General features: G+C 40.0%; 2 protein-coding genes across 17 annotated transcripts in view, besides 5 other annotated features; both read left to right on the forward strand.

Annotated features, from left to right (window-relative positions):
- Positions 1-11,369, forward strand: part of CEP97 (centrosomal protein 97) — a 45,949-nt gene extending 34,580 nt beyond the window's left edge. For all 5 annotated transcript variants that reach the window (NM_024548.4, NM_001303401.2, NM_001410784.1 and 2 more), the window contains 2 exons: positions 3,292-3,367; positions 5,654-11,369. In NM_024548.4, the coding sequence (NP_078824.2) occupies positions 3,292-3,367; positions 5,654-6,358 (781 nt within the window). In that variant the 3' untranslated portion in view covers positions 6,359-11,369. The remainder of the gene's footprint in view (positions 1-3,291; positions 3,368-5,653) is intronic.
- Positions 10,356-10,435: an enhancer, noted in NCBI's record as "active region_20179". NCBI's record gives its function as "activates an Ori minimal core promoter by ATAC-STARR-seq in GM12878 lymphoblastoid cells {active_cell/tissue: GM12878}" and the evidence as "EXISTENCE:reporter gene assay evidence [ECO:0000049][PMID:35858748]".
- Positions 19,832-20,126: an enhancer, noted in NCBI's record as "tiled region #11; HepG2 Activating DNase unmatched - State 4:PromP, and K562 Activating DNase unmatched - State 4:PromP". NCBI's record gives its function as "activates a minimal TATA promoter and a strong SV40 promoter by Sharpr-MPRA in HepG2 and K562 cells {active_cell/tissue: HepG2 | K562}" and the evidence as "EXISTENCE:reporter gene assay evidence [ECO:0000049][PMID:27701403]".
- Positions 19,832-20,280: a biological region, named in NCBI's record as "Sharpr-MPRA regulatory region 11".
- Positions 19,931-20,280: a silencer, noted in NCBI's record as "silent region_14577". NCBI's record gives its function as "represses an Ori minimal core promoter by ATAC-STARR-seq in GM12878 lymphoblastoid cells {active_cell/tissue: GM12878}" and the evidence as "EXISTENCE:reporter gene assay evidence [ECO:0000049][PMID:35858748]".
- NXPE3 (neurexophilin and PC-esterase domain family member 3) overlaps positions 20,018-26,130 on the forward strand; it is a 49,021-nt gene continuing 42,908 nt past the window's right edge. For 3 of the 12 annotated variants that reach the window (NR_145993.2, NM_145037.4, NM_001348997.2), the window contains exons 1-3: positions 20,018-20,131; positions 22,917-23,097; positions 23,467-23,587. The gene's annotated coding sequence lies outside the window, so the exon portion shown is untranslated. Of the gene's footprint in view, positions 20,132-20,470; positions 20,742-22,916; positions 23,098-23,462; positions 23,588-26,130 lie in introns of those variants that run through there. The other 9 variants (NM_001348991.2, NM_001348996.2, NM_001134456.2 and 6 more) reach the window with 7 other exon arrangements.
- Positions 20,691-20,740: an enhancer, noted in NCBI's record as "active region_20180". NCBI's record gives its function as "activates an Ori minimal core promoter by ATAC-STARR-seq in GM12878 lymphoblastoid cells {active_cell/tissue: GM12878}" and the evidence as "EXISTENCE:reporter gene assay evidence [ECO:0000049][PMID:35858748]".

Here is a 26,130-nt window from a genome sequence, read left to right on the forward strand (position 1 = left end):
TTCTGTTCGTCATTATGGTTCATTACAGCAAAAGGATACAGATTAGAATCAGTAAAGAAAAAAGGTGCCTAGGGCAGAGTCTAGGAGACATGAGGTGCAAGCTTCCAGTTGTTCTCTTTCAGTGGAGTTGTACAGACAGGGCTTAATTTTCTCAGCAATGATGTATGATAACACATATGAAGTATTGCCAACTGACGAAAGTTACCTCATCTTTGGTGTCCAGGGTTTTTATTGTGGGCCAGTCACATAGGTATTGAGTACCCATGTAACTGATCTTAACTATTTACACCTCAGACCACATAGAGGTCACACTGATACTCCATGGCCCAGGACCCAGGACCCCAGGCGAACAAAACAGATGTTGACTAGAAATCATTGATTGCCTAAACTATCTGATGTGACCAAGACCCCAGGTGTATAAAGATATTCTTTTTCAGTCAGGATATTCCAAGGGCTTGGAGATTATCTCCCAGGAGTCAGTCAAGGGCCAGTCTTATCTTTGCAATGTACAGTGTTTGAACATCCCCATCCTGCTGAGTTAACTCTTTACTGCACAGTGACCTTCCCAAGAGCAGCTTCAGTGGTGTAGAGGGATGAAGGCCATTTTGGAATGGGTTGAATAGTGAATGAGAGGTAAAGAGTTTGAAGGATGAGTGTAGCCAATTCTTGGAAAGAGTTGTTTTGAGGAAAACAAGAGAAAAGAGAGTTAAGTGGTGTCTGGAGGAGAATCTAGATTAAAGGAACATTCTCTTTTGTAGATGAGAGATATAGAGTTTGTTCATGTGTTGATGGAATGAATAAATAAGGAGGGAAAAACTGATGGTGCAGCAAAAAAAAAAAAAAAAAAAAAAAAGAGGAAGAGCAGGATTGCAGTTCTTGAGAAGGTAAGAGAGGAAGAAATGTAGTGTCGAAGTAGAGGAAGTGGCCTGAAATGGGAGCAGGAGCAGGTAAGGTGGTAGGTTTGATGGTGGGAGATGGGAAAAAGTCCTGTCTGATGCTGCTTCTTTTTCAATAATGTATAAGATGTGGTCAACACCTGAAAATGAGGAGAGGGTGAAGGAGGTGTAAGGAGAGAAGTATGAGGTGTGAGGTAGTTATCTTAAACATGACCTTATGAGGAAAATGGAGGAGGGTTGCTGGACAATGTGAGAAAATGCTTAAAAGTGCAAAACAATAGGTCAGGTTGTATGATTTTCATCAGCAATTCTTAGCTGCTCTGGTCTGATTCAGGCATGGTTAATTTGGTTCAGCCAGGAATGATTTTTTTTCCTAGGTGATATTGTAGAGAGAGCAGGGGAAGGGCAAGAGAGCTGAAGATATTTGAGAGGGAGTAATAATGATAGATCTTAGATTTTATATGTTTTTTGAGATGGGGTCTTGCCCTCTTGCTGAGGCTGGAGTGTAGTGGCGTGATCATAGCTCACTGTAATCTTGAACTCCTGGGTTCAAGTGATTCTCCCACTTGAGGCTCCCAAGTAGCTGGGACTATAGGCATGCACCACCATGCCCAGCTAATTAAAAAAAATTTTTTTAAAGAGATGAAGTCTATGTTGCCCATCTGGTCTTGAACTCCTGGCCTCAAGCAGTCCTCCTGCCTCAGCCTCCTAAAGTTCTGGGATTACAGGTGTGAATTACCTTGCTGACTGGAATTTTATTTTTATTTTTTATCTAAAAAAATTTTTTTTTGAGATGGAGTCTTGCTCTTGTCACCCAGGCTGGAGTGCAATGGTGCGATCTCAGCTCATTGCAACCTCTGCCTCCCAGGTTCAGGTGATCCTCCTGCCTCAGCCTCCCGAGTAGCTGGGATTACAGGCACCTGCCACATGCCCAGCTAATTTTTTTTTTGCATTTTTAGTAAAGACAGGGTTTCACCATGTAGGCCAGGCTGGTCTCAAACTCCTGACCTCAGGTGATCCTCCTGCCTGGGCCTCCCAAAGTGCTGGGATTACAGGTGTGAGCCACTGTGCCCAGGCTGGCTGGAATTTTAAATGAGGTAAAAGGGAAGTGAAGGCAGGGGGGAAGGATCATTGGACTGAAGGTCTAGATTGTTGCAGTGGGGTACAACAGCAAGTGAACTGGGAGGATAGGAAGTAGTGGTTGGTGTTGGGTGCTTAGAACCATTTCTGAAAGTAGTGTAGTCAAAATGATTTGGTCTAGGGTGAGACTATGAGAATGGGTGACTGACATGGGGTGGATTATTGTTAGAGCATCCATGTGAATGTTGAGGTCTCCAAAAACGATGACAGGTATGGGGCAAAGAGAAAGCCTGGTGCTGAGACTTCATTGAATGGGAGCAGATGGTGGGAGGTCAGTACTTGACAACGAATTTTGGGAAATTTAGCAGGATGGCAGGAGTTAAAGGAGGGAGATGAAGAATCATTTGAAAACAATAGTGAGAAGCAATTTTTGAACCCTGATGTGTGACAGGGAAAAATAGCTTCCACTTCAGAGGGCTATAGTGCTCTCAGAAGTGGGTCTGCTTTGGACAAGGAAAAGTTCAGAGAGAGATGGAGTATATAAGGGAGTTTGCTAATTATAATTCAGGAGTTCTAGATGGCACAGGAGAAAGGCTTGGGGGGCTAGAGAAAGTGGAGAATTGGGTCAGAGGTGTGGAACAAAATGGTCTTGACAGTTTGGGTGATAATGGATCACTAAAGGAGGAGCCTTAGGTTTGTGATAGGCCTAAGTATGGAGAGAACAGCAGTGAGCCCAGACCTCAGACTTTGATGAATGAATGAGGAATAATGGATGGGAGGTCTCTTGTTAGCAAGGAGTAGGTCGGAGACCTGGGGAAACAGAATAGTGAAGTTTGATGGGATTAGTCTTTAGCAGAGGGTGTTTCAAGCTGGATCACGAGTACTTAAATGTGACCCTTAATTGTTTTGGAGGCTTTGGATAGCCACTCCTTTTTTGCACTTTCTGTTCCTTTGGTTTGTTTGGCTGAGAAATTGAAGCCAGACAAAGAGCCATTTAACATTTTATTTTATTTCTTATTACTGGAAATACTTTGTAGAACTAATACCTGTATTTCAGTCATATCTCCTTTGGCTTCTACTTTGAGTCACAGTTCAAAATTAAGGTTTATGATGTCACTTATAAAACTGTTCCATTTTGATTCTGAGGTTAAAAAAATAAAAATAAAATAAGGTTTTAATTTAGATATTCTAAAAGTGGGAAAGACAACTATTAGATTATTAATCTCTTTACAATGCATGTGTTTATGAGTTGTAACAGGAAGTCTGAGTCAAAGCACCCTTCCTTATGTCAATAATGTGTTTTGAATTATTGTAGATTACGAAAAGAAAGAGATGAAGAACGTATTAAAAAATTTGTACAAGAAGAAGCTTTCAGATTCCTTTGGAACCAGGTAAACTCCCTCCTGCTGATTTACCTCATATATGATCAAATACAGATTCTATATTCATTGAGATAATCATAGAGTACTCAGGTGTATTAAGCACTCTTGTTCAAGGTTAAGGGTATGGCTTGTGTTCTTCGCCACTAACTGTGAACTAGGACAGTGAATTTTCTTGCATTTTATTTAATCTGAAGAAAAATATTCTGACAATTTTGACAAGAAAAACAAAATAGTATAAAGCAGGAGGAAAGTGGCTTAACTGAAGGCTGTTAGAGCTTTCCAATAGATACAACAACCCCAATTTGAAATTTCATGTAGCTATCGATCTGTCTTTTGGGAATATTTGAATGAATTGTGATTAAGATGGTATATGACTACAATATGCATGTCCTAAAAAGTATTCATAACTGTATAGGAGAGTATTTGAATCCTATAATAGCACACTTTAGGGACAGTTTAGGCAGTTGGTTTTACTAGCATTGTATCACATCAAATACTTCTTGATGATAATTTCTTGAAAATATTTTAATAAAATTTTCATTTCTTCTTTTTTATAGAAATGGGGTCTTGCCATATTGCCCAGGCCGGTCTCAAACTTCTGGGCTCAAGCAGTCTTCCCTCCTCAGCCTCCCAAAGTGAGCCACATCACCTGGCCAAATTTGTTATAATAGGATTTGACCTATAAAATGAAAAAATAATTATTGATTTGTAAAGTTTTGTAGTTACCAACAATAGAGGAATGGTTAAATTATAGAATAATAATACTGTGGAATACCATGGAATAGTTAAAAAAAATAAGGTAATGGTATTCACCAACATGGAAAGATCTCCAAAATAATACTGTTTAGTAAAAAAAAAAAACAGCACTAGCGCATTACAGCCTTGAACTCCTCAAGTGATCCTTCTGCTGCAACCTCCCAAGCAGCTGGGACTACAGGCACACACCAGTGTGCTCAGCTTCCCTGTATATTTGAAAATACGACCTAGAAAAAAGTCTGGAAGGATATGCATCAAGTTGCTGTCAGTAATTACCTTGGGCGGGGGGTCAAAGGGAAACTAAAAACTGTACATACTGCTTTCTTGTTTGCAGTTTTTACAGTAAAATTTTGGAATTTTTGTTATACTTTAGAAATTAGGGGTCATATTATCAAGAATTTGGTATGTTTTTAGGTATTTTAGAAAGTTGCATATACTATATTGTTAGCTAATACTTAAAAACTGTAATCTCTACCTGGGTATCTAAAATGAGACTTATTTTACAAGATCTACTTATTTCAAGGGCTCTAACCTGTCTTATTGAATAGATCTCATTATATCTTGAATACATTATTGACCCCTTATTCAGCTAGGCATGTGCTGTTGCGCATTATTGACCCCTTAGTCAGCTAGACATGTACTGTTGTGCTTCTTGCTGTTTTTCTTGTAGAAGCAAGAGAATTGCTTTGGCCCATTCCCACTCCTGGTGAGGGCCTTTTGTTACCAGGGACATGTACCATTTGTGCCAGTCTGGTTTTAGGCTTGGGATGCTATGGAAAAGATAAAGGGAGTCAGCAGTTTCTAGCTCCAGTTCTGCCATTTGCCAGCTTCATGACTGCTGGAAAAAAGAGCTCAAAGGAAAATTGTAAAATAGACAGGTGGGGTGTGGTGGCTTGTGCCCGTAATCCCAGCACTTGGGAGGCCAAGGCAGAAGGATTGCTTGAGCCCAGGAGTTCAAGACCATCCTGGGCAACAAAGCGAGACCTCATCTCTACAGAAAAAATTTTAAAAATTAGCCAGATGGACGGACACGGTGGCTCACGCCTGTAATCCTAGCACTTTGGGAGGCCAAGGTGGGCGGATCACCTGACGTCAGGAGTTTGAGACCAGCCTGACCAACATGGGGAAACCCTGTCTCTACTAAAAATAGAAAATTAGCCAGGTGTGATGGTGGGTGCCTGTAATCCCAGCTACTTGGGAAGCTGAGGCAGGAGAATTGCTTGAACCTGGGAGGTGGAGGTTGCGGTAAGCCGAGATTGTGCCATTGCACTCCAGCCTGGGTAACAAGAGCGAAACTCCATCTCAAAAAAAAAAAAAAAAATTAGGCAGACATGGTGGTGGGCACCTGGAGTCCTAGCTGGTTAGGAGGCAGAGGTGGGGTGGGAGGATCACTTGAGCCCAGGAGGTTGATGCTGCAGTGAGCCATGATTGTGCTGCTGCACTCCAGCCTGGGTGACAGAGCGAGACCCTGTCTCAAAAACAAACAAACAAAAACAACACTTTTTATTTTATAATACAACTGTATTCTCTGGTTTATAGGTAAGGTCTCTACAGGTTTGGCAACAGACAGTGGACCAGCGTCTAAGTTCCTGGCATACTGATGTTCCTCCTATATCAAGTACTCTTGTGCCATCGAAACATCCATTATTTACCCAAAGCCAGGAGTCCTCTTGTGATCAAAATGCTGATTGGTTTATTGCTTCTGATGTAGCTCCTCAAGAGAAATCATTACCAGAATTTCCAGACTCTGGTTTTCATTCCTCTCTAACAGAACAAGTTCATTCATTGCAGCATTCTTTGGATTTTGAGAAAAGTTCCACAGAAGGCAGTGAAAGCTCCATAATGGGGAATTCCATTGACACAGTCAGATATGGCAAAGAATCAGATTTAGGGGATGTTAGTGAAGAACATGGTGAATGGAATAAGGAAAGCTCAAATAACGAGCAGGACAATAGTCTGCTTGAACAGTATTTAACTTCAGTTCAACAGCTGGAAGATGCTGATGAGAGGACCAATTTTGATACAGAGACAAGAGATAGCAAACTTCACATTGCTTGTTTCCCAGTACAGTTAGATACATTGTCTGACGGTGCTTCTGTAGATGAGAGTCATGGCATATCTCCTCCTTTGCAAGGTGAAATTAGCCAGACACAAGAGAATTCTAAATTAAATGCAGAAGTTCAGGGGCAGCAGCCAGAATGTGATTCTACATTTCAGCTATTGCATGTTGGTGTTACTGTGTAGCATGTCTTTTGGGAGGCAGATATCCACTTAACTTTTCTTAAAAATACTTTCAGTTGCCTTTGCTTTTTTTTGGAGGGAAATACTCCCTACCCCTAATTTTGTTACTACTTATATAGAATTTGTATTCATGTCTTATATTTTTCAGATTCTAGATATTGAGCTGAGTTTTCATTTTGATTTTGTTAGCTTTTTACTTAGCTGTAAGGTACCAAACTATTTATATTGAAAGCTATATGCACTTTATTTCTTAACTGAATTGCATCAACAATGTTCCTGTTTCTTTCATGTACTCATTTACTTTCAAAAATAAGCTAGAATATATTAAAGAAAATAGAAAAAATTACCTTAAATATATAAATAAGAGAATTTTGGCCCTTCTGTGTCTGAGAAAATTAATTATATAGCAAGGAATGAAATTTGATAAAGCAAATATAAATGAGAAATATGAGGATTGTGAATTATTGAAATTTGCCAGTCTCCCTGGTGTAAAATGTTTTTTTAAAGCCTTTTTTCCTCCTTTCGGAGTCAAGGAAAGCCTTTCTATAAGCAAATTAAGGAAGAAAAGGTAGGATTATAAGATTTCTCAATGGGGATGATTAAATTGTCTCATGGAAAACTTCAGTTAATGTCATGCATCAGTTTTAACATATGAAGTAAAGTGTTCTATCCAGGATTAAAGTCAAGTTTACTTAGGCAACACAAGAATATTTCACTTAGATATGAAGAAAGGAAACACTAGTCTCCATTCACTTGAAATACTCTCATGGCAAATATTTATCCTCTCATTAAGTGCTTTTTCACCCTATAGGTAAGCATTTTTGTGCCAACATGTTGTCAGAAATTAATGTATGTTCATCTCCTCTGTTCCTGCTTATTTTTACTTATATATTTCAGCAGAAGGTCCGTGGCCATTCACTTCAATTTTGACCTCTGTCCCATAGTGAAGAACATTTAAAGTAATACTACTGGTCGAATATGAATGACTTTTTAGGAACTACTTTTTGTCTAACCTGAAAAAGTTCCACATTTGGAAGACAATTTAATGATGGTGAAGAAATAATAAACCTCACTTTACTTGTTAAAAGGGATATATATATATATATATATGTCTGCAACTTCAGGGAGAAATAAGATTGTGTTTGAATATTGTAGGTAGATGCATTTGTAATTAAGGATAATATCGTTTAACAACATGTATTTGGTTTCCCTCAACTTACAGACATACAGCTATTTAAAACTATGGCAATACTTAAGCATCTCTAAATTTAGGTGCTAAATATCTATTATTCTGTTGTAGTCATTAGGTGCCCTTCTCTGAAGTTATGTAAAATAAAAGCATCTGATCCTTCAAGGATAAAGTTGAGGATCACATGGTACGTGGCATTTGTTGTTATTGTTTTTTAAAGAGATGGAGGCTGGCTCTGTTGGTGCGGTGCCATGATCATAGTTCACTATAACCTCGAACTCCTGGCTCAAGTGATCTCCCACTTCAGCCTCCCGAGTATCTGGGATTATAAGCAAGAGCCACTGCTCCCAGCTCATGGTATTTGTTGATAGTCATAACATTTTTCCTGTATGGTAAGACGTATTTTTCTCAGTTTATAAATACGTAGCACTCAGGTTGAGACGACTTGGATTTTATTCTTAGAAATCCAGAATCCCTTGAAAAGGAAATATTTTCTGTTTCTTATAAATAAAAGAGTAATCTTACTTTCAGAAGGATTTTCCTTAGTGAAACATGTGTAACATTGAATGCATGTTAAATAAAAATGGAATTTCTAACTTTTTTTCAATAGTGCTAATTATCTTTTCTGAATGATTTTGAATGTCTTCTTAAATATACCCTATTTTTCTATTTTAAAGTTAAGTGCCTCACTTGCTGTCCATAGTTAGACAAAGAAAAACCAATTTCCACTGCACTAGTACCAAAATACTACTTTATACATTAGTTTTTCATAAAAGCTGCTGGAATGTCATGATTCAGTATTACCTAAATAGATTTCTGCTAAAATCCTCTCCCTCCTGTCTTTTTTAAGTTATGGAAAAACACAACTAAATTCATTTGATCATCAGCACTTGTTAGCAGGATTTCCTTTTTTACCTTTGCCTTGTTTCTTTAGCCCACAAATAGTACTCAGCATACTTTCATTAAAAATTTGGCACAATATGATAATTGTTAATATTCTGTTCTTCGTCTGTGTTTTATTTAACTTTTACTAGTGTTTAGAAGTGCAAGAATATTAAATAGCCCCTTCCTTAACTGTACATATTATCTTGAATGTAGATAAAATGAAAATACTGTAAATTAGAGTGTAGGAAAACTGGCATAGAGTTAATATATTTTAATGGGTTTACATTATACTTTAAAAGTAATTTATATAATTAAAATATTTGGTTTTAACTCTATGGGCTATTCTTTGGTTGGCTGAAGAGGGAATGGGTCTAGTAAGGTTTGGAAAGTTAAGCTTTGAACATGGTCTTTGTGTTTTTTTCCTAACAAGGAAAGGTTTAGTTCAGCTGTGCTATTTTAGTACACATCAGTTCTCTTGATTTATGGAAGATTCAGTTTATCAATTAAGAATTCCTGCAGAAGCACAGAATCATACCATGTAAGAGTTGGAAGGAAGCTTAAGAGATTTCTGTTCGAATCTCTTTGTTTCAAAGATGAAACTAAAGCACAGCATGTTAAATGACTTGTCTAAGTTATAGCTAGTTAGTAGTAAATAAACTGAAAACCTATATGCTACTGTAGTCCAAAATTTTATTATGTCCTCTTAATCTTTACATTTAGTGAGTCAGTAAGGAAATCTCTGCATATTTCTCATTCTCTTTGAAAGAGGAAAAAAACTTCTAAGAGAGCTACAACTCTATCACTCATGACAGAGTTGCTTGTAGAAAATAACTAATTCCTTCAGAACCCTGAGTGAATTTTTTCTAAGAAATGTGACTTGATTAAAATGGTTTCAAAAGAGCAATAGTGGAAATTAAAGTTTTAGAAAAGAGACCTGGCGTGGTGGTTGACAACTGTAATCCCAGTGCTTTGGGAGGCTGAGGCCAGAGGATCACTTGAGGCCAGGAGTTCAAGACCAGCCTGGACAACATAGCAAGACCCCCCTCTCTACAAAAAAAATTTTTTTCTGAAAAGAATAAGTACATTTTAGAGTCCATTTATTTGACGACAGGCAGTATGACAGGTTGCTGAGGTATATAAAATTTTCTAGAGAAATGCTGAGTTTGATGACATTTTATCTTCAGTTTTGTAGAACAGATGTTAAAATGTTAACTCTCCTGGTGTGCAGAAAGCTGTAATCATGACAGTTGATAATATGCAATTTAGTTTGATTTTATAGGTTTAATTATAAAAGGCTTCACAATATGCATGTTTTAGGAAAATGTTCATTTATTTAGTCATATAATCGTTTGTATATATGTAAATAACTTTATTCTGGAATAATGTGGGTGCCATCTTGAGCGTGTGTTTTTATCTGTTTTGGATTATTTTTTGTATACAAACACCATAATACTGTATTTTCCTGTTATCTACTTAAGTCTAGTTCTACTTTTTCCCAATAATTTCAGGAAAATACAAGCTTGAGATATTATACTATCTCCCTTGGTATTTTTTGTGTGCAAAGTCTTAGAATTGGATTTATAACATTGATAATAAAAATATAAAACGTTTTTCCTCGGGAGTTAAGATGGTAAAAAGAAAAAAATAGAATGAATATGATCATTTCTCCATCATAAAGGAAAGAAGAGACTTCATTGTGTGTGTGTTTTTTTTTTTTTTTTCGAGATAGAGTTTCACTGTTGTCACCCAGGCTGGTCTCAGCTCACTGCAACCTCCACTTCCTGGGTACAAGCGATTCTCCTGCCTCAGCTTCCTGTGTAGCTGGGATTACAGGTGTGCAACCACAAGGCTCGGCTAATTTTTTTGTATTTTTAGTAGAGATGGGGTTTCACCATGTTGGCCAGGCTGGTCTCGAACTCCTGACCTCAAGTGATCCACCCACCTCGGCCTCGCAAAGTGCTGAGATTACAGGTGTGAGCCACTGTGCCCAGCCGAGACTTCATTGTTTAATGTATATTTTTATTTTTTCCAAACACCAGCTCGAATCAGAGTATATTTTTATTTTGCCACATACCTTTAAAAGGTATTTATTGTGTCATAATGTTTTAAATGTTAAATATATGATACCCTCATTCATGAAGTGAAGCAGAAAGGGTCTGTAAGGAACATTCTAAACATTTTTAATGATATTGCTTTTACTGATCAAGCTTGTTGTGCCATATTAAAATTAAAAGTCAAATAAACAAAGCAGTCCTCACAGCCTTGGAAAGAAATAGATAATTGTCTTCTTAAGATGAGGTGCTTTTTATCTGTGGATGAATGGAAATCACACTGAATTTTAATTCTTATTTATTTTAGTGGATAGCAGGAATCACTCTGTAGTAGTTGTGTTCATTTTCTTTTCTTTTTCTTTTCTTTTTTTTGAGAGAGTCTCGCTCTGTCACCAGGCTGGAGTGCAGTGGCGTGATCTCGGCTCACTGCAACCTCCATCTCCTGGGTTCAAGTGATTCTCCTGCCTCATCCTCCCGAGTAGCTAAGACTACAGGCACACGCCACCATGCCCAGCTAATTTTTATATTTTTAGTAGAGATGGGGTTTCACCATGTTGGCCAGGATGGTCTCAATCTCTTGACCTCGTGATCCACCCAGTTTGGCCTCCCAAAGTGCTGGGATTACAGGCGTGAGCCACTACACCTGGCCTTGTTCATCTTCTAATTAAATATCTTTGAATGTTTTGTAATAATTTTAATGTTGACAATAAGAGTTTAAAAATAATTTGATTTTGGACTGTATTTAGATTTCTCTTTAATTTTGCTGTAGAAATAGTAAATGATTTAAAGTGGTTATGATGTGTTTTATGAAGGCTTACTATTTTATATTGTACTTATTTAATTTGTATTTGAGTCTGTCTAATTTTAAATAAAAGGTTTATACATTTGAGTGCTTCATCTGTTTATTTTAGTGATTAGTAGTAATGATTGTTATTCATTGTGCTTGTAATTAATGGATAAAGTTCAGAATAAATTGCAAATAGAACCCTACTAAGCAATGTCCAGAGTATTCTCATTATATAAGTGAATTTACAATAAAACAGCTTTTGCCTTATGAAAATGGATATGAAGTGGAAGGAATGCTAATTCAGTTTTATTCAGTATAGATTTCGTTACCTCTAGATACTCACTAGAATTCTCTAGACAGAGAAGAGCAGACATCCTTCAAAGAGCATAGATGACATCGTCCGGGGCTAGTGAAGGTAGTGAGTGTTGGGGGGTAAGTTGAGTAGAAGCCCTCTCATTTGACACTATTGGAACCTGTAGTTGGTTAGCGAATAAAAAAATTACAGCAGGGAGTCATAAAAGATTATATATATATGATATATATATGTATCTATGCATCATAAACTTTAAAATATTTTTATTGAAATATAATTGGCATATTTAAAGTGGACATTTAAAGGCATAATTATTTTTAATTTTTATTTCCTTTTTTAAAACTTTTAAGGCATATTTAAAGTTGCATATTTAAAGTGGACAATTTGGCTGGGCTTGATGGCTCATGCCTGTAATCCCAGCACTTTGGGAAGCCGAAGTGGGTGGATTACTTGAGGTCAAGAGTTTGAGACCAGCCTGGCCAACATGGCGAGACCCCATCTTTACTAAAAATACAAAAAGATTAGCCGGGCATTGGTGGTGGGTGCCTGTAATCCCAGCTACTTGGGAGGCTGAGGTAGGAGAATCGCTTGAACCCAGGAGGCGGAGGTTGCAGTGAACCAAGATTGCACCATTGTACTCCAGCCTGGGTGACAGAACGAAACTCCATCTCAAAAAAAGTACAAAAAAATAAAGCGGACAATTTGATAAATTTTGACACATTGTGCCCATAATACATCACAACAATCAAGATGGCAAACTTATCTATTCCAAGAGATTCCTCATTCCCTTCATGACACATCCTATTTTACCTGGTTTCTTTTACTTAGCATGATTATTTGAGATTCGTCTGATTGCTTTCTGAGTAGTATTTCATTGTATGTATTTGCCAAAATTTGTTTATCCATTAATCTGCTGATGGACATTTGGGTTATTGATACATTTTGGCTATTCGAACTGAAGCTGGTGTAAGCATTTGTGATTAAGTCTTTGTATGAACATGTGTTTTCATTTATTTTGGGTAACTACCTAAGAGTGGAATGATTGGATCTTACAGTAGGTATATGTCTTAACTTTTTAAGAAACTAACAAACCAGTTTTGTTTTCCAAAGTGGTGGTAGCATTTTGCATTCCCACTAGCAGTATATGATGGTTCCGGTTTTTCTACATCCTCACTAACATTTGGTATGGTCAGTCTTTTTAATTTTGTCCATTCTAGTGGATACATAGTAGTATTTCGGTGTGTTTAATTTACATTTCCCTAATGATTAATGATGTTCAGCATCTTTTAATTTATTTGCTGTGTGTCTATCTTTGGTTAAGTGTCCCTAAATTTGAAGTATTCAAAAAATTTATCCATTTAAAAAAAATGGGGGCCAGGCACAGTGGGTCACACCTGTAATCCCAGCACTTTGGGAGGCTGAGGCAGGCAGATCACTTGAGGTCAGGAGTTCGAGACTAGCCTGGCCAACATCATGAAACCCCATCTCTACTAAAAATACAAAAATTAGCTGGGTGTGGTGGTGCGCACCTGTAATCCCAGCTATTCTAGAGGCAGAGACAGGAGAATCATCTGAACCCGCGAGGTGGAAGTTGCAATGAGCCGAGATCACACCACTGTACTCCAGCCTGGGCAACAGAGTGAGACTCCGTGTGAAAAAAAAAAAAAAACAATTAAATTGGGTTGTCTGTCTCCTTATTTTGAGTTGTAAGAATTATTTAGGCCAGGCACGGTGGCTCACGCCTATAATCCCAGCACTTTGGGAGGCCAAGGTGGGCATATCACGAGGTCAGGAGATCGAGACCATCCTGGCTAACACTGTGAAACCCCATCTCTACTAAAAATACAAAAAATTAGCCGGGTGTGGTGGCATGTGCCTGTAGTCCCAGCTACTTGGGAGGTTGAGGCAGGAGAATCGCTTGAACCCAGGAGGTGGAAGTTGCAGTGAACCGAGATCACGCCATTGCACTCCAACCTGGGTGACAGAGGACAGAGCAAGACTTGGTCTCAGAGAAAAAAAAAAAAAAAAAAAGATTTATATAGTCTAGGCACAAGTCCTTGAACAAATATAAAATATTTTGTCTCAGTCTGTGGGTTGCCTTTTCATGTTCATGATCATGGTTTTTGAAGAGAAAAGGGTTAAGATTTTGATGAAGTCTAATATGTTGATTTTTAAATAGTTTGTGCTTTTGGTGTTGTGTTTAAGAAATCTTGCCATACCCAAGGCCACAAAGATATTCTAAGTTTTTTTTCTAGAGGTTTTGTAGTTCTGGCTCTTACACTGAAACCTATGATCCATTTCATGTTAAATTTTTATATGGTACGAGATAAAGTTTATGGTTTCTTTATTTTTTACATATGATTATCCAGGTATCCAGCACCATTTGTTGAAAAAGATTGTCCTCTCCCCATTTAACTGTCTTGTCACCTTTGCAAAAATCAACTGGCCATATACGTATGAATCCATTTCTGGATTGTCTTCTGTTCCAGTGATTGATTTGTTTATATTTCAATACTACACCACCTTCATTACTATAGCTTTATACTAAGTCTTGAAATCAGGTAATGTTTGAGTCCTTTGTTTTTTTCTAATGTTCTTTTCTTTGAGTATAGATGCTCTGTAGTTCTGTGTCTAAATTTTACCTATAATGCACCATTTCCATTTTTAGTTTCTTTAAAATAGAGTAAGAATTTAAAAACATGTATAAAGCCATCAGAATGCAGAATACTTCTAGGTGTTTATAATTTCTCCATCTGATTTTTGACACATTTCTTGCCCATACCTAACTCAACTGCAGTTTTTTTACCTTTTTAAGCAATTCACTTTTGAGTCTTTCCGAAACACTCAACTTTGTTTTCCTTGAATATTTTTTGTTTTTACACTAGATTTCAAAGGTTCACATAATAAGTGCTTAGATTGCCAGGCGCGGTGGCTCACGCCTGTAATCCCAGCACTTTGGGAGGCCGAGGTGGGCGGATCACAAGGTCAGGAGATCGAGACCATCCTGGCTAACATGGTGAAACCCCGTCTCTACTAAAAATACAAAAAATTAGCCGGGCGTGGTTGAAGGCGCCTGTAGTCCCAGCTACTCGGGAGGCTGAGGAAGGAGAATGGCGTGAACCCGGGAGGCGGAGCTTGCAGTGAGCCAAGATCCCACCACTGCACTCCAGCCTGGGTGACAGAGGGAGACTCCGTCTCAAAAAAAAAAAAAAAAAGTGCTTAGATTATATTATTATAATCACGTTATAACTGGAATAAACTGGTTTGGAAACAAATACGACTCAAATTGGTGGGAGCAGAAGTCCATATTCTGGAGAGGGAGTAGGATAGCAAAGCTTTTCTTGTATTGTTTCATCTATCTTTGAAGGAAAAGAAAACTTTTTGCCCCCTCAAACAATTGAAGCTGATTCCCAGTTTGGTGATGAAGTGGATGTTGGTGCTTCATCAGATCTGAATTAGCAAGAGTATTGGTTCCCAAACTTTCTGGTAATCATAATCTGGGGAGTACATATTGTATGATCCTATTTATATGAAATTCTGGAAAAAGCAACACTATAGGGAGAGAAAATAGATAAGTGGTTGTTAGAGATTGAGGAACAGATTGACTAAAAAGGGCTTGCATGTGGGAATTTTTAGGGTGAAACTATTTTGTATGGTACTGTGATGGTGGATACGTTTGTCTACAAACTTGTCAAAATCCATAGAACAATACATCACAAAGTCTGAACTTTTTTCAAGTTTTGCCAAAAAATAAATCTCTATTGAGGATGTCAAGGGGATCTCAGAATGGAATGTGGACTATGACAAATGACACCAACTGTATTACAAATTTATGACATAACCTCACTGAGCTAGAGACAAAAAGAACTGTATAGGAACACTGTACTCTGGTTGGTAAATGTTTCTTACAGGGGTACAGGTTGTCTATTCTGTAACTGCATCTATACTAGGCTTAAACAAATAAGTAAATATAGATAATCATGGCCAGCTATCTCACTGTTAGAAAAAGAAATTACAAATATGCAAAGGAGAAATGCAGGAATGAACCCTGTGGTGCTGGATTGGAGTTGGAGATATCAATATGAACTCATGTCTACACAGGTAGTTATGGAAGTAAATATAGACATGTATGTCTATATAAATGTAAATGTATATATAAAGATACAGTGCATATGTTTATACATGGGTTAGTATACCCATGTACATTTTTAGCTCTGTACAGGCCTAGAAAGAATGATCCTTCAGTAGCAACAAGCATACATAGCACTCATGTCTTGGTCTCTACAATTCTTCAATAAAAGGGAACAAGGCTCTTTGGAGAAATGGTTGATTCCAGGGGCGGAGCAAAGAAAAAAAAAGTGATCCCAGAACATCTTAAGTGCCAGAAAGTAAGGAAGTGATAAGCAAACAAATGATCAAGCATGTAAAAGAGATACATGAAGCAACCTGAAAGAGGTCCCAATGGCAAAAGCTGAAATAATTTGAGCAGCAAAATAACAACAGATTATAAATCAAGGAATAAAATAAATATCCATGAGTGCACCCTGATGTAAATTATTGAATAAATAGCTGGAGAAGAAGGGGCAACTCTTTCATTTTTTTTTCTAAGTTTTTAATCCTCTCAGGGTACAGAAGGACAACTCTTAGAGAAGACTTCCAAATAATAAATGCAGAAAGAATGAAGGAAATAGGAAAATCACCATTCGAAAACCACTATAATAATTGCTACAACAGAAATCCACGATGAATACCTAAATTAGTGGGCAAAACTATAAGAAGAGATAGAATATTTGTGTAGCTTCAAAGTATCTTCCCTTAAATATATATTGATTATTATGGTGGTTTAAACATGTACCCAAAAGTTCATTGATACTCCTTCCTTCATAAGATAAAGCTTAATTTCCCTCTCCTGAGTGTGAGCTGGATTTAGTGACTTGCTACTAATGGATGGAGTATGGAAAAAGAAAATTAGCAACTCTATTGCGGAGAAACGTAGCATATAACACCTCAATCAAATGATCATGGTTAACATCACCAGTGATAAATCATGTCACATTTTCCTTAATCTGATGCAGTGAAGACATTTCATTCTGGTGTTCTTTCCCCGAGTCTAACCATGAGTAAACAAACACCAGGCAAATTCAAGTTGAGGGGTAGTCTACAAAATGCCTGATCAATATTCTTTTTTTTTTTTTGAGATGTAGTCTCACTCTTTCTCCTAGGCTGGAGTGCAGTGGCGCAATCTCGGCTCACTGCAACCTCCACCTCCCAGGTTCAAGCGATTCTCCTGCCTCAGCCTCCTGAGTAGCTGGGACTACAGGCGTGTGCTACTACGCCTCGCTAATTTTTGTATTTTTAGTAGATATGGGGTTTTGCCGTATTGGCCAGGCTGCTCTCAAACTCCTGACCTCATGATCCACCTGCCTCGGCCTCCCAAAGTGCTCACACCTGTAATCCCAGCACTTTGGGAGGCTGAGGCAAGTGGATCACTTGAAAGGCCAGGAGTTTGAGACCAACGTGGCCAACATGGTAAAAAACCCTGTCTCTACTAAAAATTAAAAAAATTACCTGGGTGTGGTGGTACACGCCTGTAATTCTAGCTACTCTCAAGGCTGAGGCAGAAGAATCGCTTGAACCCGGGAGGTGGAGGTTGCAGTGAGCCGAGATTCTGCCACCTCACTCCAGACTGAGCGACAGAGTGAGACTCCATCTCAAAAAAAAAAAAAAATGCTACTGATGTTATTTTGATTATCAGTGGAATTTGATTTGAGGACTACTGAACTGCAGAAATCAAGAGTGGAGGAAAAAAAAATTGATCTCATTTTTCCCTAAACTATGCATGTGAGATTAGCCATCATTAATTATAACTTTTTTTTTTTTTTGAGACAGTTTCGCTCTTGTTGCTCAGGCTGGAGTGCAATGGCGTGATCTCGGCTCACTGCAACCTCCGCCACCCGAGTTCAAGCGATTCTTCTGCCTCAGCCTCCCGAGTAGCTGGGATTACAGGCGCCTGCCACTATGCCCGGCTAATGTTTTTGTATTTTTAGTAGAGACGGGGTTTCACCATGTTGGCCAGGCTGGTCTCAAACTCCTGACCTCAGGAGATCCACCTGCCTCAGCCTCCCAAAGTGTTGGGATTACAGGCATGAGCACCGCGCCTGGCCAATTATGACTTTTAAAAGGAAAATATGTCCATTAATTTGAGAGCATGGACCAACGCAGTAGTGACATCAACTACTTCACTCACTTTCAGTCTCTTACCCTTGGCAGCCTCCTCCAATTGTTCATGGTGTTTTGGAACAGAGTGGTTGGTACCTAATGTGACAGTGGTCACTTAATTTTCAGTAGGTAGATGGCCTTGGGGCCCAAATTTCAGTGACTTGTTCAAAGGGAGGAAGCAAAGGAACTGAATGAGGAACTGACTTGGGCTCAGGAGTATGCATGTAGGCCTCCGTGAAAACATCTGAATGAACACAGAGTCCACTGTGGTCAAGAAATATAAAAATACTTAATGTGCTTGTGCCTCAAGCTTCTGCCATCAGGGACAGGTTTATTTGCTTTTATTTGTCTACTCTTAAGATCTATGCTTTGTTTTGCTTAGAGAATCAAGTTTAGCATTAATAAACACTAGTGTGTAAACTACATTTTCAGATGGGGCAGAAATGACCAGTTCCTTTGGTTTCATATCATCATATAAACATTTTTTTATTTTTTGAGACAGGGCCTCACTCTGTCACCCAGGCTGGAGTGCAGTGGCTGCTCTTATTTGTGGTTATGACTGTAAAATATAGGTAAATATAGGTAAGATCACTCAAATGCCTCAGGGTTATGAGTGCTTGGGGGAGAATGGGGTCAATGAGGTCCAAAACCATGACCTAGAAGTCATCTTGTCCTAAGTATTTTACCACTTGTAAGACAGCCAAGCTGTACATGAGGCGGGGGATCCTACTGGGAGATAAAGCATAATCAGAGCAGAAGTCTAGTATATGAGGCTCTTCTTCGATAGCAGAAGGAAGCTACCCTTTTATGTCCTCAAAAGGTCCCAGAGTGCTGTATTTCCTCGAGGAAGAAGGAGTATCAGATCATTACTACAATGGTTGAACTAGTTTACAGTCCCACCAACAGTGTAAACGTGTTCCTACTTCTCCACATCCTCTCCACCACCTGTTGTTTCCTGACTTTTTAATGATCGCCATTCTAACTGGTGTGAGATGGTATCTCATTGTGGTTTTGATTTGCATTTCTCTGATGGCCAGTGCTGATGAGCATTTTTTCATGTGTTTGTTGGCTGCATAAATGAACACTTGGACACAGGAAGGGGAACATCACACACCTGGGCATGTTGTGGGGTAGGGGGAGGGGGGAGGGATAGCATTAGGAGATATACTTAATGTAAATGACGAGTTAATGGGTGCAGCATACCAACATGGCACATGTATACATATGTAACAAACCTGCACGTTGTGCACATGTACCCTAGAACTTAAAGTATATTAAAAAAAAAAAAAAGAAGATCATTACTACAGAAGAGATCTTCCACCCTGTGGCAGAACTTCCTTTTATCCCATTCACGGATCTGGTTGCCCACGAAGCAGGCCTGCCATGAAAACATCTGAATGAGCATGCAGAGTCCATTATGGTCAAGAAATGGAAAAATACTTAGTTGTCATGTACATTAATTATTTTTCTTAAACCTTGGGGTAATAGTCCGGGGGCAGGCCTGCTTTTGGGGCCTGTGTTAACCCCACTGTGCTCCAAGCACAGAGAAACACGGTGCAGCCCACAATTCCTTCTGGTTTCTTGAACAAGTGTCTTCTCAGGACTCCTCTCAGTTCCTGAATTTCACAAAACTGCTACCGACGTTTTACCAGTTAGAAAAATGTCCAAAATAGGATAACCCAGAATTGGGGATGGTGGAGGGTGAGGAAAGTATGCTTTGCCAAGAGACCGACATCATGTACAGTGAGAGTAAAAGGAACGGGCTGTTTTACTGGCGAGTAGAAGTTGTTGACTAATGTCAAAGCAAGGAAAAGATTCAAGGATCCGCTATATCCGTGCTTATACTTGGCAAATCGCATTTCTCTGGTTCAGGGCACAATAAATTCCATCACTCCACAGGAAAGACTGCCCTACTAGAGTCAACTGCGGTTGTGGGCACTTTCGCTGACAAGCGAAAAGCCTTGAGGTAGGTGGATGCTCCCAGGAAACTCAGACGTCCGAAGTTCACGAGGAGTTGGGTCGTGAGAGGGGCCAGACCTCGATCCGCGGGGCGACAGCTGCAGTGTCGCGTCGCGAGCAGGAGCTTGGCGGCGTAGAGCGCCAGGGTGCCAACTTCGCTTCCAGGCCTGTGGGTTCCGCCCGGCGCGTGCTGCTGTCAGTCAACGCCCTCGGCCCGCCCCCGCCGAAGCTCCACCAATCGTAGCCGGGGGTCGGAGGTGAGGAGACGTCGCCGGGTGAGGAAGCGGGGGGCTAGCGGCCTGGCGCTGCGGCGACCGACCGGGGCGTCAGGATCCCTGGCCCCCGGAGAGCGAAGGGCGGGCGGGTCCCGGAGGTGAGTGCTGGATGTGGTCTGTGTGCGGACGTCGGGAGGGGCCGCTGCGGGCGGAGCGACCCATTGCCCGGCTCTGCCAGCGCGCTCCTAGACTGCGAAGCCCCTCCCTCCGCGCGCATCTGCTCCCGAGTCCCCAGCCCCGTGCTGATAGGTGCAGCCCCTGGAGTCGTGGCTGTGGGCATAGGTGCCAGGGAGGGGAGGCCCGGGTCGAAGGCATAGGCAGAATTGGAGCCCTGGGTTGCCAAAGCGTCGCAGCTAAGAAGCCGGAGCCCAGGCTAGTACCGGCGGGGCGGGGCGGGGCGGGGCCGGGAGCGAGCATCTCCATCCTCAGTTTCCTCCACTTGCGGCAACGCCACAGCTCGGTACAGTTCGGACCTCCACGCCGCAGCGAAAGACTTCTGTCCTCCAGGCACCTTCACTAACCCGGTGCGGAGCACTTGGCGACGCCTCCCTGCCCATCTCATATCTCTCGGCTCATCGCTGCTCTGGGCACCAGCTGCCTCTTGGCTGGCGCTGCTGTCACACGGTGGACTGTTCTGGCCTTACTGAGCTGCCGTTTGGGGACATCAGATTCAGGTCGTATGGGGAGAAACGAGTGTAACTTTACAAGGTGTGATATGGAGACCCTGGCCTGTTGCCCATTTCTGCCTGATCAAAGGCCACTAGGGTGGTAATAAGAGGGGTTCCGAGGCAGGATTTATGCAGCATTTGTGCAAAATTGTAAATTTTCTTTGCTTTTCATTATTTACATTAAAGGGGGATTGTTGCCACATTTCCTAAAGATAAAGAATCACACTGCTTTGGTGGGCCTCCCCGCTCCTCACTGTGGTTAATTATCATTTGGAACATCAGGATATATTTGAAACTGGCAGGACTCCCAGACCCTGATAATTGTTTGGAGGCAGCAGTATACTATTTCTCCGTAGTGTTTGGGTTCTGCTTTTCTTTGAATTTGTTTAGTATTTTTTTTTCCATGTCTGTTATCCTCACAATCTCTTTGGGGCCAATAGAGTGCTGTTATTTGTTACTGAGAAAGGAAACGAAGGGATAAATCACTGAAGTGGGGTTAGCCTTCCCCATTGCCTGGGAATTGGGTTGTCCTGACCTGACAATTTAAGTTACAATTCAAACATCATTTTGGAAAGGCCATCCTTTTACCAACTGAAACGAATAACAGTCCCTGGCCACTCTATACTAGTGGTTCTCCCACTTGGCTGTATGTTGTAATCATCTAGGGACCTTTTTAAAAAAAGCTACTTCTTGGGCCTATTCCTACAGATTCTGATTTAATTGTTTGAGTGGGGCCCAGTTGTTTGTATTTTAAAAAGCTTCCACGATGATTATTAATGTTCATGCAGGGTTGAGGACCACAACCTATCAATGTGTTCAATATTTAAAAAATAGCACTTAGTACAGTGTGACTTATATAACTGATTTTATTACTTCTCCACTTGCTATGTAACCTCCATGAATACATGGGGCCCTGCTTTGGAAGAAGGGCAAGGGAAGGTCCAGATGAGTCAGCACTTTGTGCATGTGAGGCTGCGGGACACGAAGGAGAAATGGAATCTGTGGAAACAAGTCCTGCAGACTACTGCCCCTGCTTCATCTTTTTTCAAGGATTGACCCTATTTGGTTAACCCATCATTGTTAGGGTCCTGGATGGGTCTCCAGTTCTTCATTCTGTAGATCCTGCCCTGTTTCAAGGTCTTACTCAGCATCCTATGAAATACAGCTACTCTTTGCAAAGTTTGAAATATATGCATTTAAGTGTAGATATTTTCCATGTAAATCTGTGCTTTTGTCTCTTACTATTGTTCTGAACTATATATTCTGAACTAAAGTTCCAGACACTTGCTGTGACTAGTACAGTTACATTTATTTGGCCAACAGGTCAGAGTAGTTAGGATAGGGACTGCCTCAGAAACTGGACAGTTTCTATGCAGTTGTCCTATAATATATTATCTTTGTGGAATGGTTGCCTGAGAACATTAGCTCCCCAGAGGATAGGGTTGCTGTCTGATTTTCTTTGTTTAATATTGAACTCAGGAATTTCATTTGTGTTACTGACAATTGTAATTCCAAATGATGTAAGTGACTGCTTTGTAATTCTCTTGTGAGATGGGGGTAGGAACCCTAATGGCAGTCTGGGGTTGTTGTCACAGGCCATAAAGAAGTTAGATTGGCCACTATGAGTCTTGGATATGGAAGTAGGCTTAATAAAAATTTGGCAGAACACTTCCAACAAATACTGGGTTCCACATGTAAGGCAGAGCATGCATTTAACTTTTTGCTTGTTCTTTGCACATATTATAAAAATAAAGCATGAGTAAGTGGTGGTCTGACATTTGAAAACAGGATCACTCAAGTTTAGATTCCTTGAATAATAACTTTTAGATCTGTACAGATACCCCTTTTTTCTGTAGGGGAAAACAAGATCATTGGATCATTGAACTAAATAATTATAATAGTTTTTAAGAAAAATAACATTTGGAGCTTTTATCTTTGGTTTATATTTTTTCACTTATATCGCTGTTTATAAAGTTTTGACCTTCAGCCAAGGTCTGAGAGTGATTTACCATGTTGAAGTTCATGTATTTAAATAGACTATTTAAATTACTGTTTTTTATTAGTAAGGAAAAGGAAACGTTCCTATGCCCACTCCTCCCACTATATCATGTATAACTCTCTTGCCTGTAAAATTGTACTCTTAATTTCTAATGTTTTTCTTTACTTCATTTTCAGTATCTTTAACCTTTATATCATATGCATATTTTTGTTTCAGCAAGAAGAATTGTATAGAAATGTAAAAAACATTTATGTGTGCTTCACATGTGGCATGAAAAAAATGAGGACCTCTGGTCAAAATTGCCTGAGTTCAGAATTTCATGCTGGAAGGAAAGTTAGACGTAACTTCTAATTTCTAGTTCCAGTAAGCATCTCTTCTTGGAAAATTTCCAAAAAAGGTAAATTACATTGAATTATATATTTTTATTTTTTTGGTTAATCTGAGGAACTTTTTTCTATAATCATTCCCTGCCAACACTGTTGTTCTTACTTGATTTTAAGGCTCCTTGCAAATAGCATTCCTGTTATAATGCGTAGGTTTTATGTTTATAGGAAAATACCAAAAACCTGTTACAGTTTTTTTTTTACACTACAATTACCTCATGCCGTGAAATAGTTTTCTTCTTTTACTTAAAAATCTTTCAGTTTAAGTTGAATTGATTTCACAGATGTGATTTAATGCTTTGTTTCTGCTATGTCTCATCTTTAATTTTTACTTTTAGAAATTGGTTTTATTCTTTATTTTATTTCATTTTTTTTTGAGACAGAGTCCTGCTCTGTTGCCCAGGCTGGAGTACATTGGTGTGATGATCATGGTTCACTGCAGCCTCGACCTCCCAGGCTCAAGCAATTCTCCTACCTCAGCCTCCTGAGTAACTGGGACTATAGGTGCGTACTACCATGCCCAGCTAATTAAAAAAAAATTTTTTGTGTGTGTGGAGTTGGGGGTCTCACTATCTTGCCTCAGCTAGTCTCAAACTCCTGGTCTCAAGCAAACCTCCTGTTTTGGCCTCCCAAAGTGTTGGGATTATTGGCGTGAGCCACCATGCCTGGCCCAGCTTTATTCTTTGTATTTGTGATTTTTATTTCCTGGTGAAAAATTAGGACATACAGATAAAGGAGAAAACAAAAACTGCCAAGAGGTGACAACTATTAAAATTTTAATATATATCTTTTCTTTTTTTTTTGAGACGGAGTCTCGCTCTGTCACCCAGGCTGGAGTGCAGTGGCGTGATCTCCGCTCACTGCAAGCTCCGCCTCCCAGGTTCACGCTGTTCTCCTGCCTCAGCCTCCCGAGTAGCTGGGACTACAGGCACCCGCCACCACGCCCAGCTAATTTGTTGTATTTTTAGTAGAGACAAGGTTTCACCATGTTAGCCAGGATGGTCCCGATCTCCTGACCTTGTGATCCGCCTGCCTCGGCCTCCCAAAGTGCTGGGATTACAGGCGTGAGCCACTGCACCTGGCCTGGTATATATCTTTTCAAAGAGAGGTCTGTCTAGTGTGCCTCACGCAACATCTATTTAGGTGTACAAATGGGTCTCTCAAATGTCAGTGCTCTACTTACAGCACAGAGTCAGGTCTTTTCCTGGCACAATCCTCCTAAATTATTGTCAGTAGAAGCCTCTAGCTGGGAGGGACTTCTTGCATTGCTGCCTCTGGTCCTGTAGTTCTTTTGCTTTAGAGTCTCCTGCCCTTGCCTTCTTTCTGCATCACTGACAGCTGTGTGCTGCTGCTGCCTGGCTGAACCACACTGATGTCCTTTAAATGGCTAGTGTCCACACAATGCATGACCACACCTGCCTATGGTGCAACTAAATTCCTGTGGACTACCATCTTTGGTCTTTTCCCTCTCTGGCCATTGTGGAAACCTGATTTTTTTTTTATGGACAACTTTTTGAGAAGGATTTCAATGGCAGAACAGTTGGGACCCTGATGACAGAGTTATCCTCTATTTTACAGCCAGTTTCTTCCAAGAAGTTATAGACAGTTTGAGGTGGATGAGTGTCTGGATATTGGAGAGAGGAGGTGTCAGGAAATGGAGAAGCACAGTCTTTCACATTTCCTGGCATCCCTGTGGAGGTGGCCAGGACTGGTGGATTTATTTCTCCTTAAGAAGGGGCTGACATCTTGTCTAATATGAGTGTAAGCTTTTCAAGGGGAATTTCTGGCACTTAGTACAGTGTGTGGTATAGCGTAGGCCTCCATAATTATTTGTTGCATAGATTGTTGAATCATTGTGTACCATGTAAAGAACTAAGTACCTTGAGCAAATCAGAAAAGTATAATGCAGTATCATTAAGTTGCTTTTCTCTGATATATGGTTTTTTAAAAAAATACAGTCATAATTGGTATAGTCTAGTTTGAGAGATAAGAAATACAAATAGAGGGAGCATGAGGGAGAAAAAAATACAAATAGAGATCAGCAGAGAAGTGAAAATAATAAGTGCTATGGGAACTCTGAGGATGGAGAGCTTGTTGGAATGGCTCACCCTTGTCTCCTTTGTGAAGCTGATTGGCATTGTCATTGTGGTTGGGACTGGTTCAGACAGGTGAGGCAGAGGAGTGAGAGAATGGGGGCTTGCCAGGTCCAACACAAAGTGGAGGGGAGAGTTGATGCAGCTGAGTTATTCTGAGATACTCTGCACCATGATTTTGTACCCTTTCTGCCTTTATTTCTGTGTCCTGCCCTTCATGGAAAGTCTCCCTGGGGATAGAATACTAGGACATTTTCTGTTTACCTGTATCAAAATGGCAAGTGGAAAGAGCATTTGAATTTGTTACGTGGGAGAACAGTTAGGCACTGCTGACTCTGAAGTCCTCTGCCTCTAGCAGGTGTGATGAAGGATTTTGGGATCCTGTTACCCATTTTTCAAGCTTGACTTTCCTCTCCCACATCTTCCAGGCAGGTGTGTGTCTTCCTGTGCCTTATCATGTAGCTGAGGGAGCATCAGGACCACATATGTGGTGGGGAGAGCTGGAAACCTAAAGAGTGTGTCGCGTCTCCTGCCATACCTCTGTATGAGAGGGGTAGCACTTCTTGTTTGCCAGAGAATGTCAGGATGCTTTGCACAGTATCCCAGAGCTCTTCATGAAAACAGTTTCCTCTTCATGTTCTTTAAGTGTAATTAATGTAGCAGTGTTACATAACTTAAAGGGAAGGGGAAGGGAAGTGATTTTATTGACTGAGGTCTCTGTAGAAATTTAGCAGTTACTTTTATTTCACAATTTCTGAGTTTGAAGACATACTTCCTTACTTTCTTAAAAGTTAAAACCTAAATAGGCAATAGGGGAAATATTGTATTTACACGGAAGCCTGACACTGGGAAAGGAAACTTTGAGGAGATTGTCTGGAAATGAAAAGACGTTACTGTGCTCTGGCTCTTTGCTTTCTCCTTGTGACTTTGGGCCTTAGATAAGGTTAAGGAAGA

The sequence above is a fragment of the Homo sapiens genome, chromosome 3 (assembly GCF_000001405.40).
Source record: "Homo sapiens chromosome 3, GRCh38.p14 Primary Assembly".
In the NCBI taxonomy this organism is placed as follows: Eukaryota; Metazoa; Chordata; class Mammalia; order Primates; family Hominidae; genus Homo; species Homo sapiens.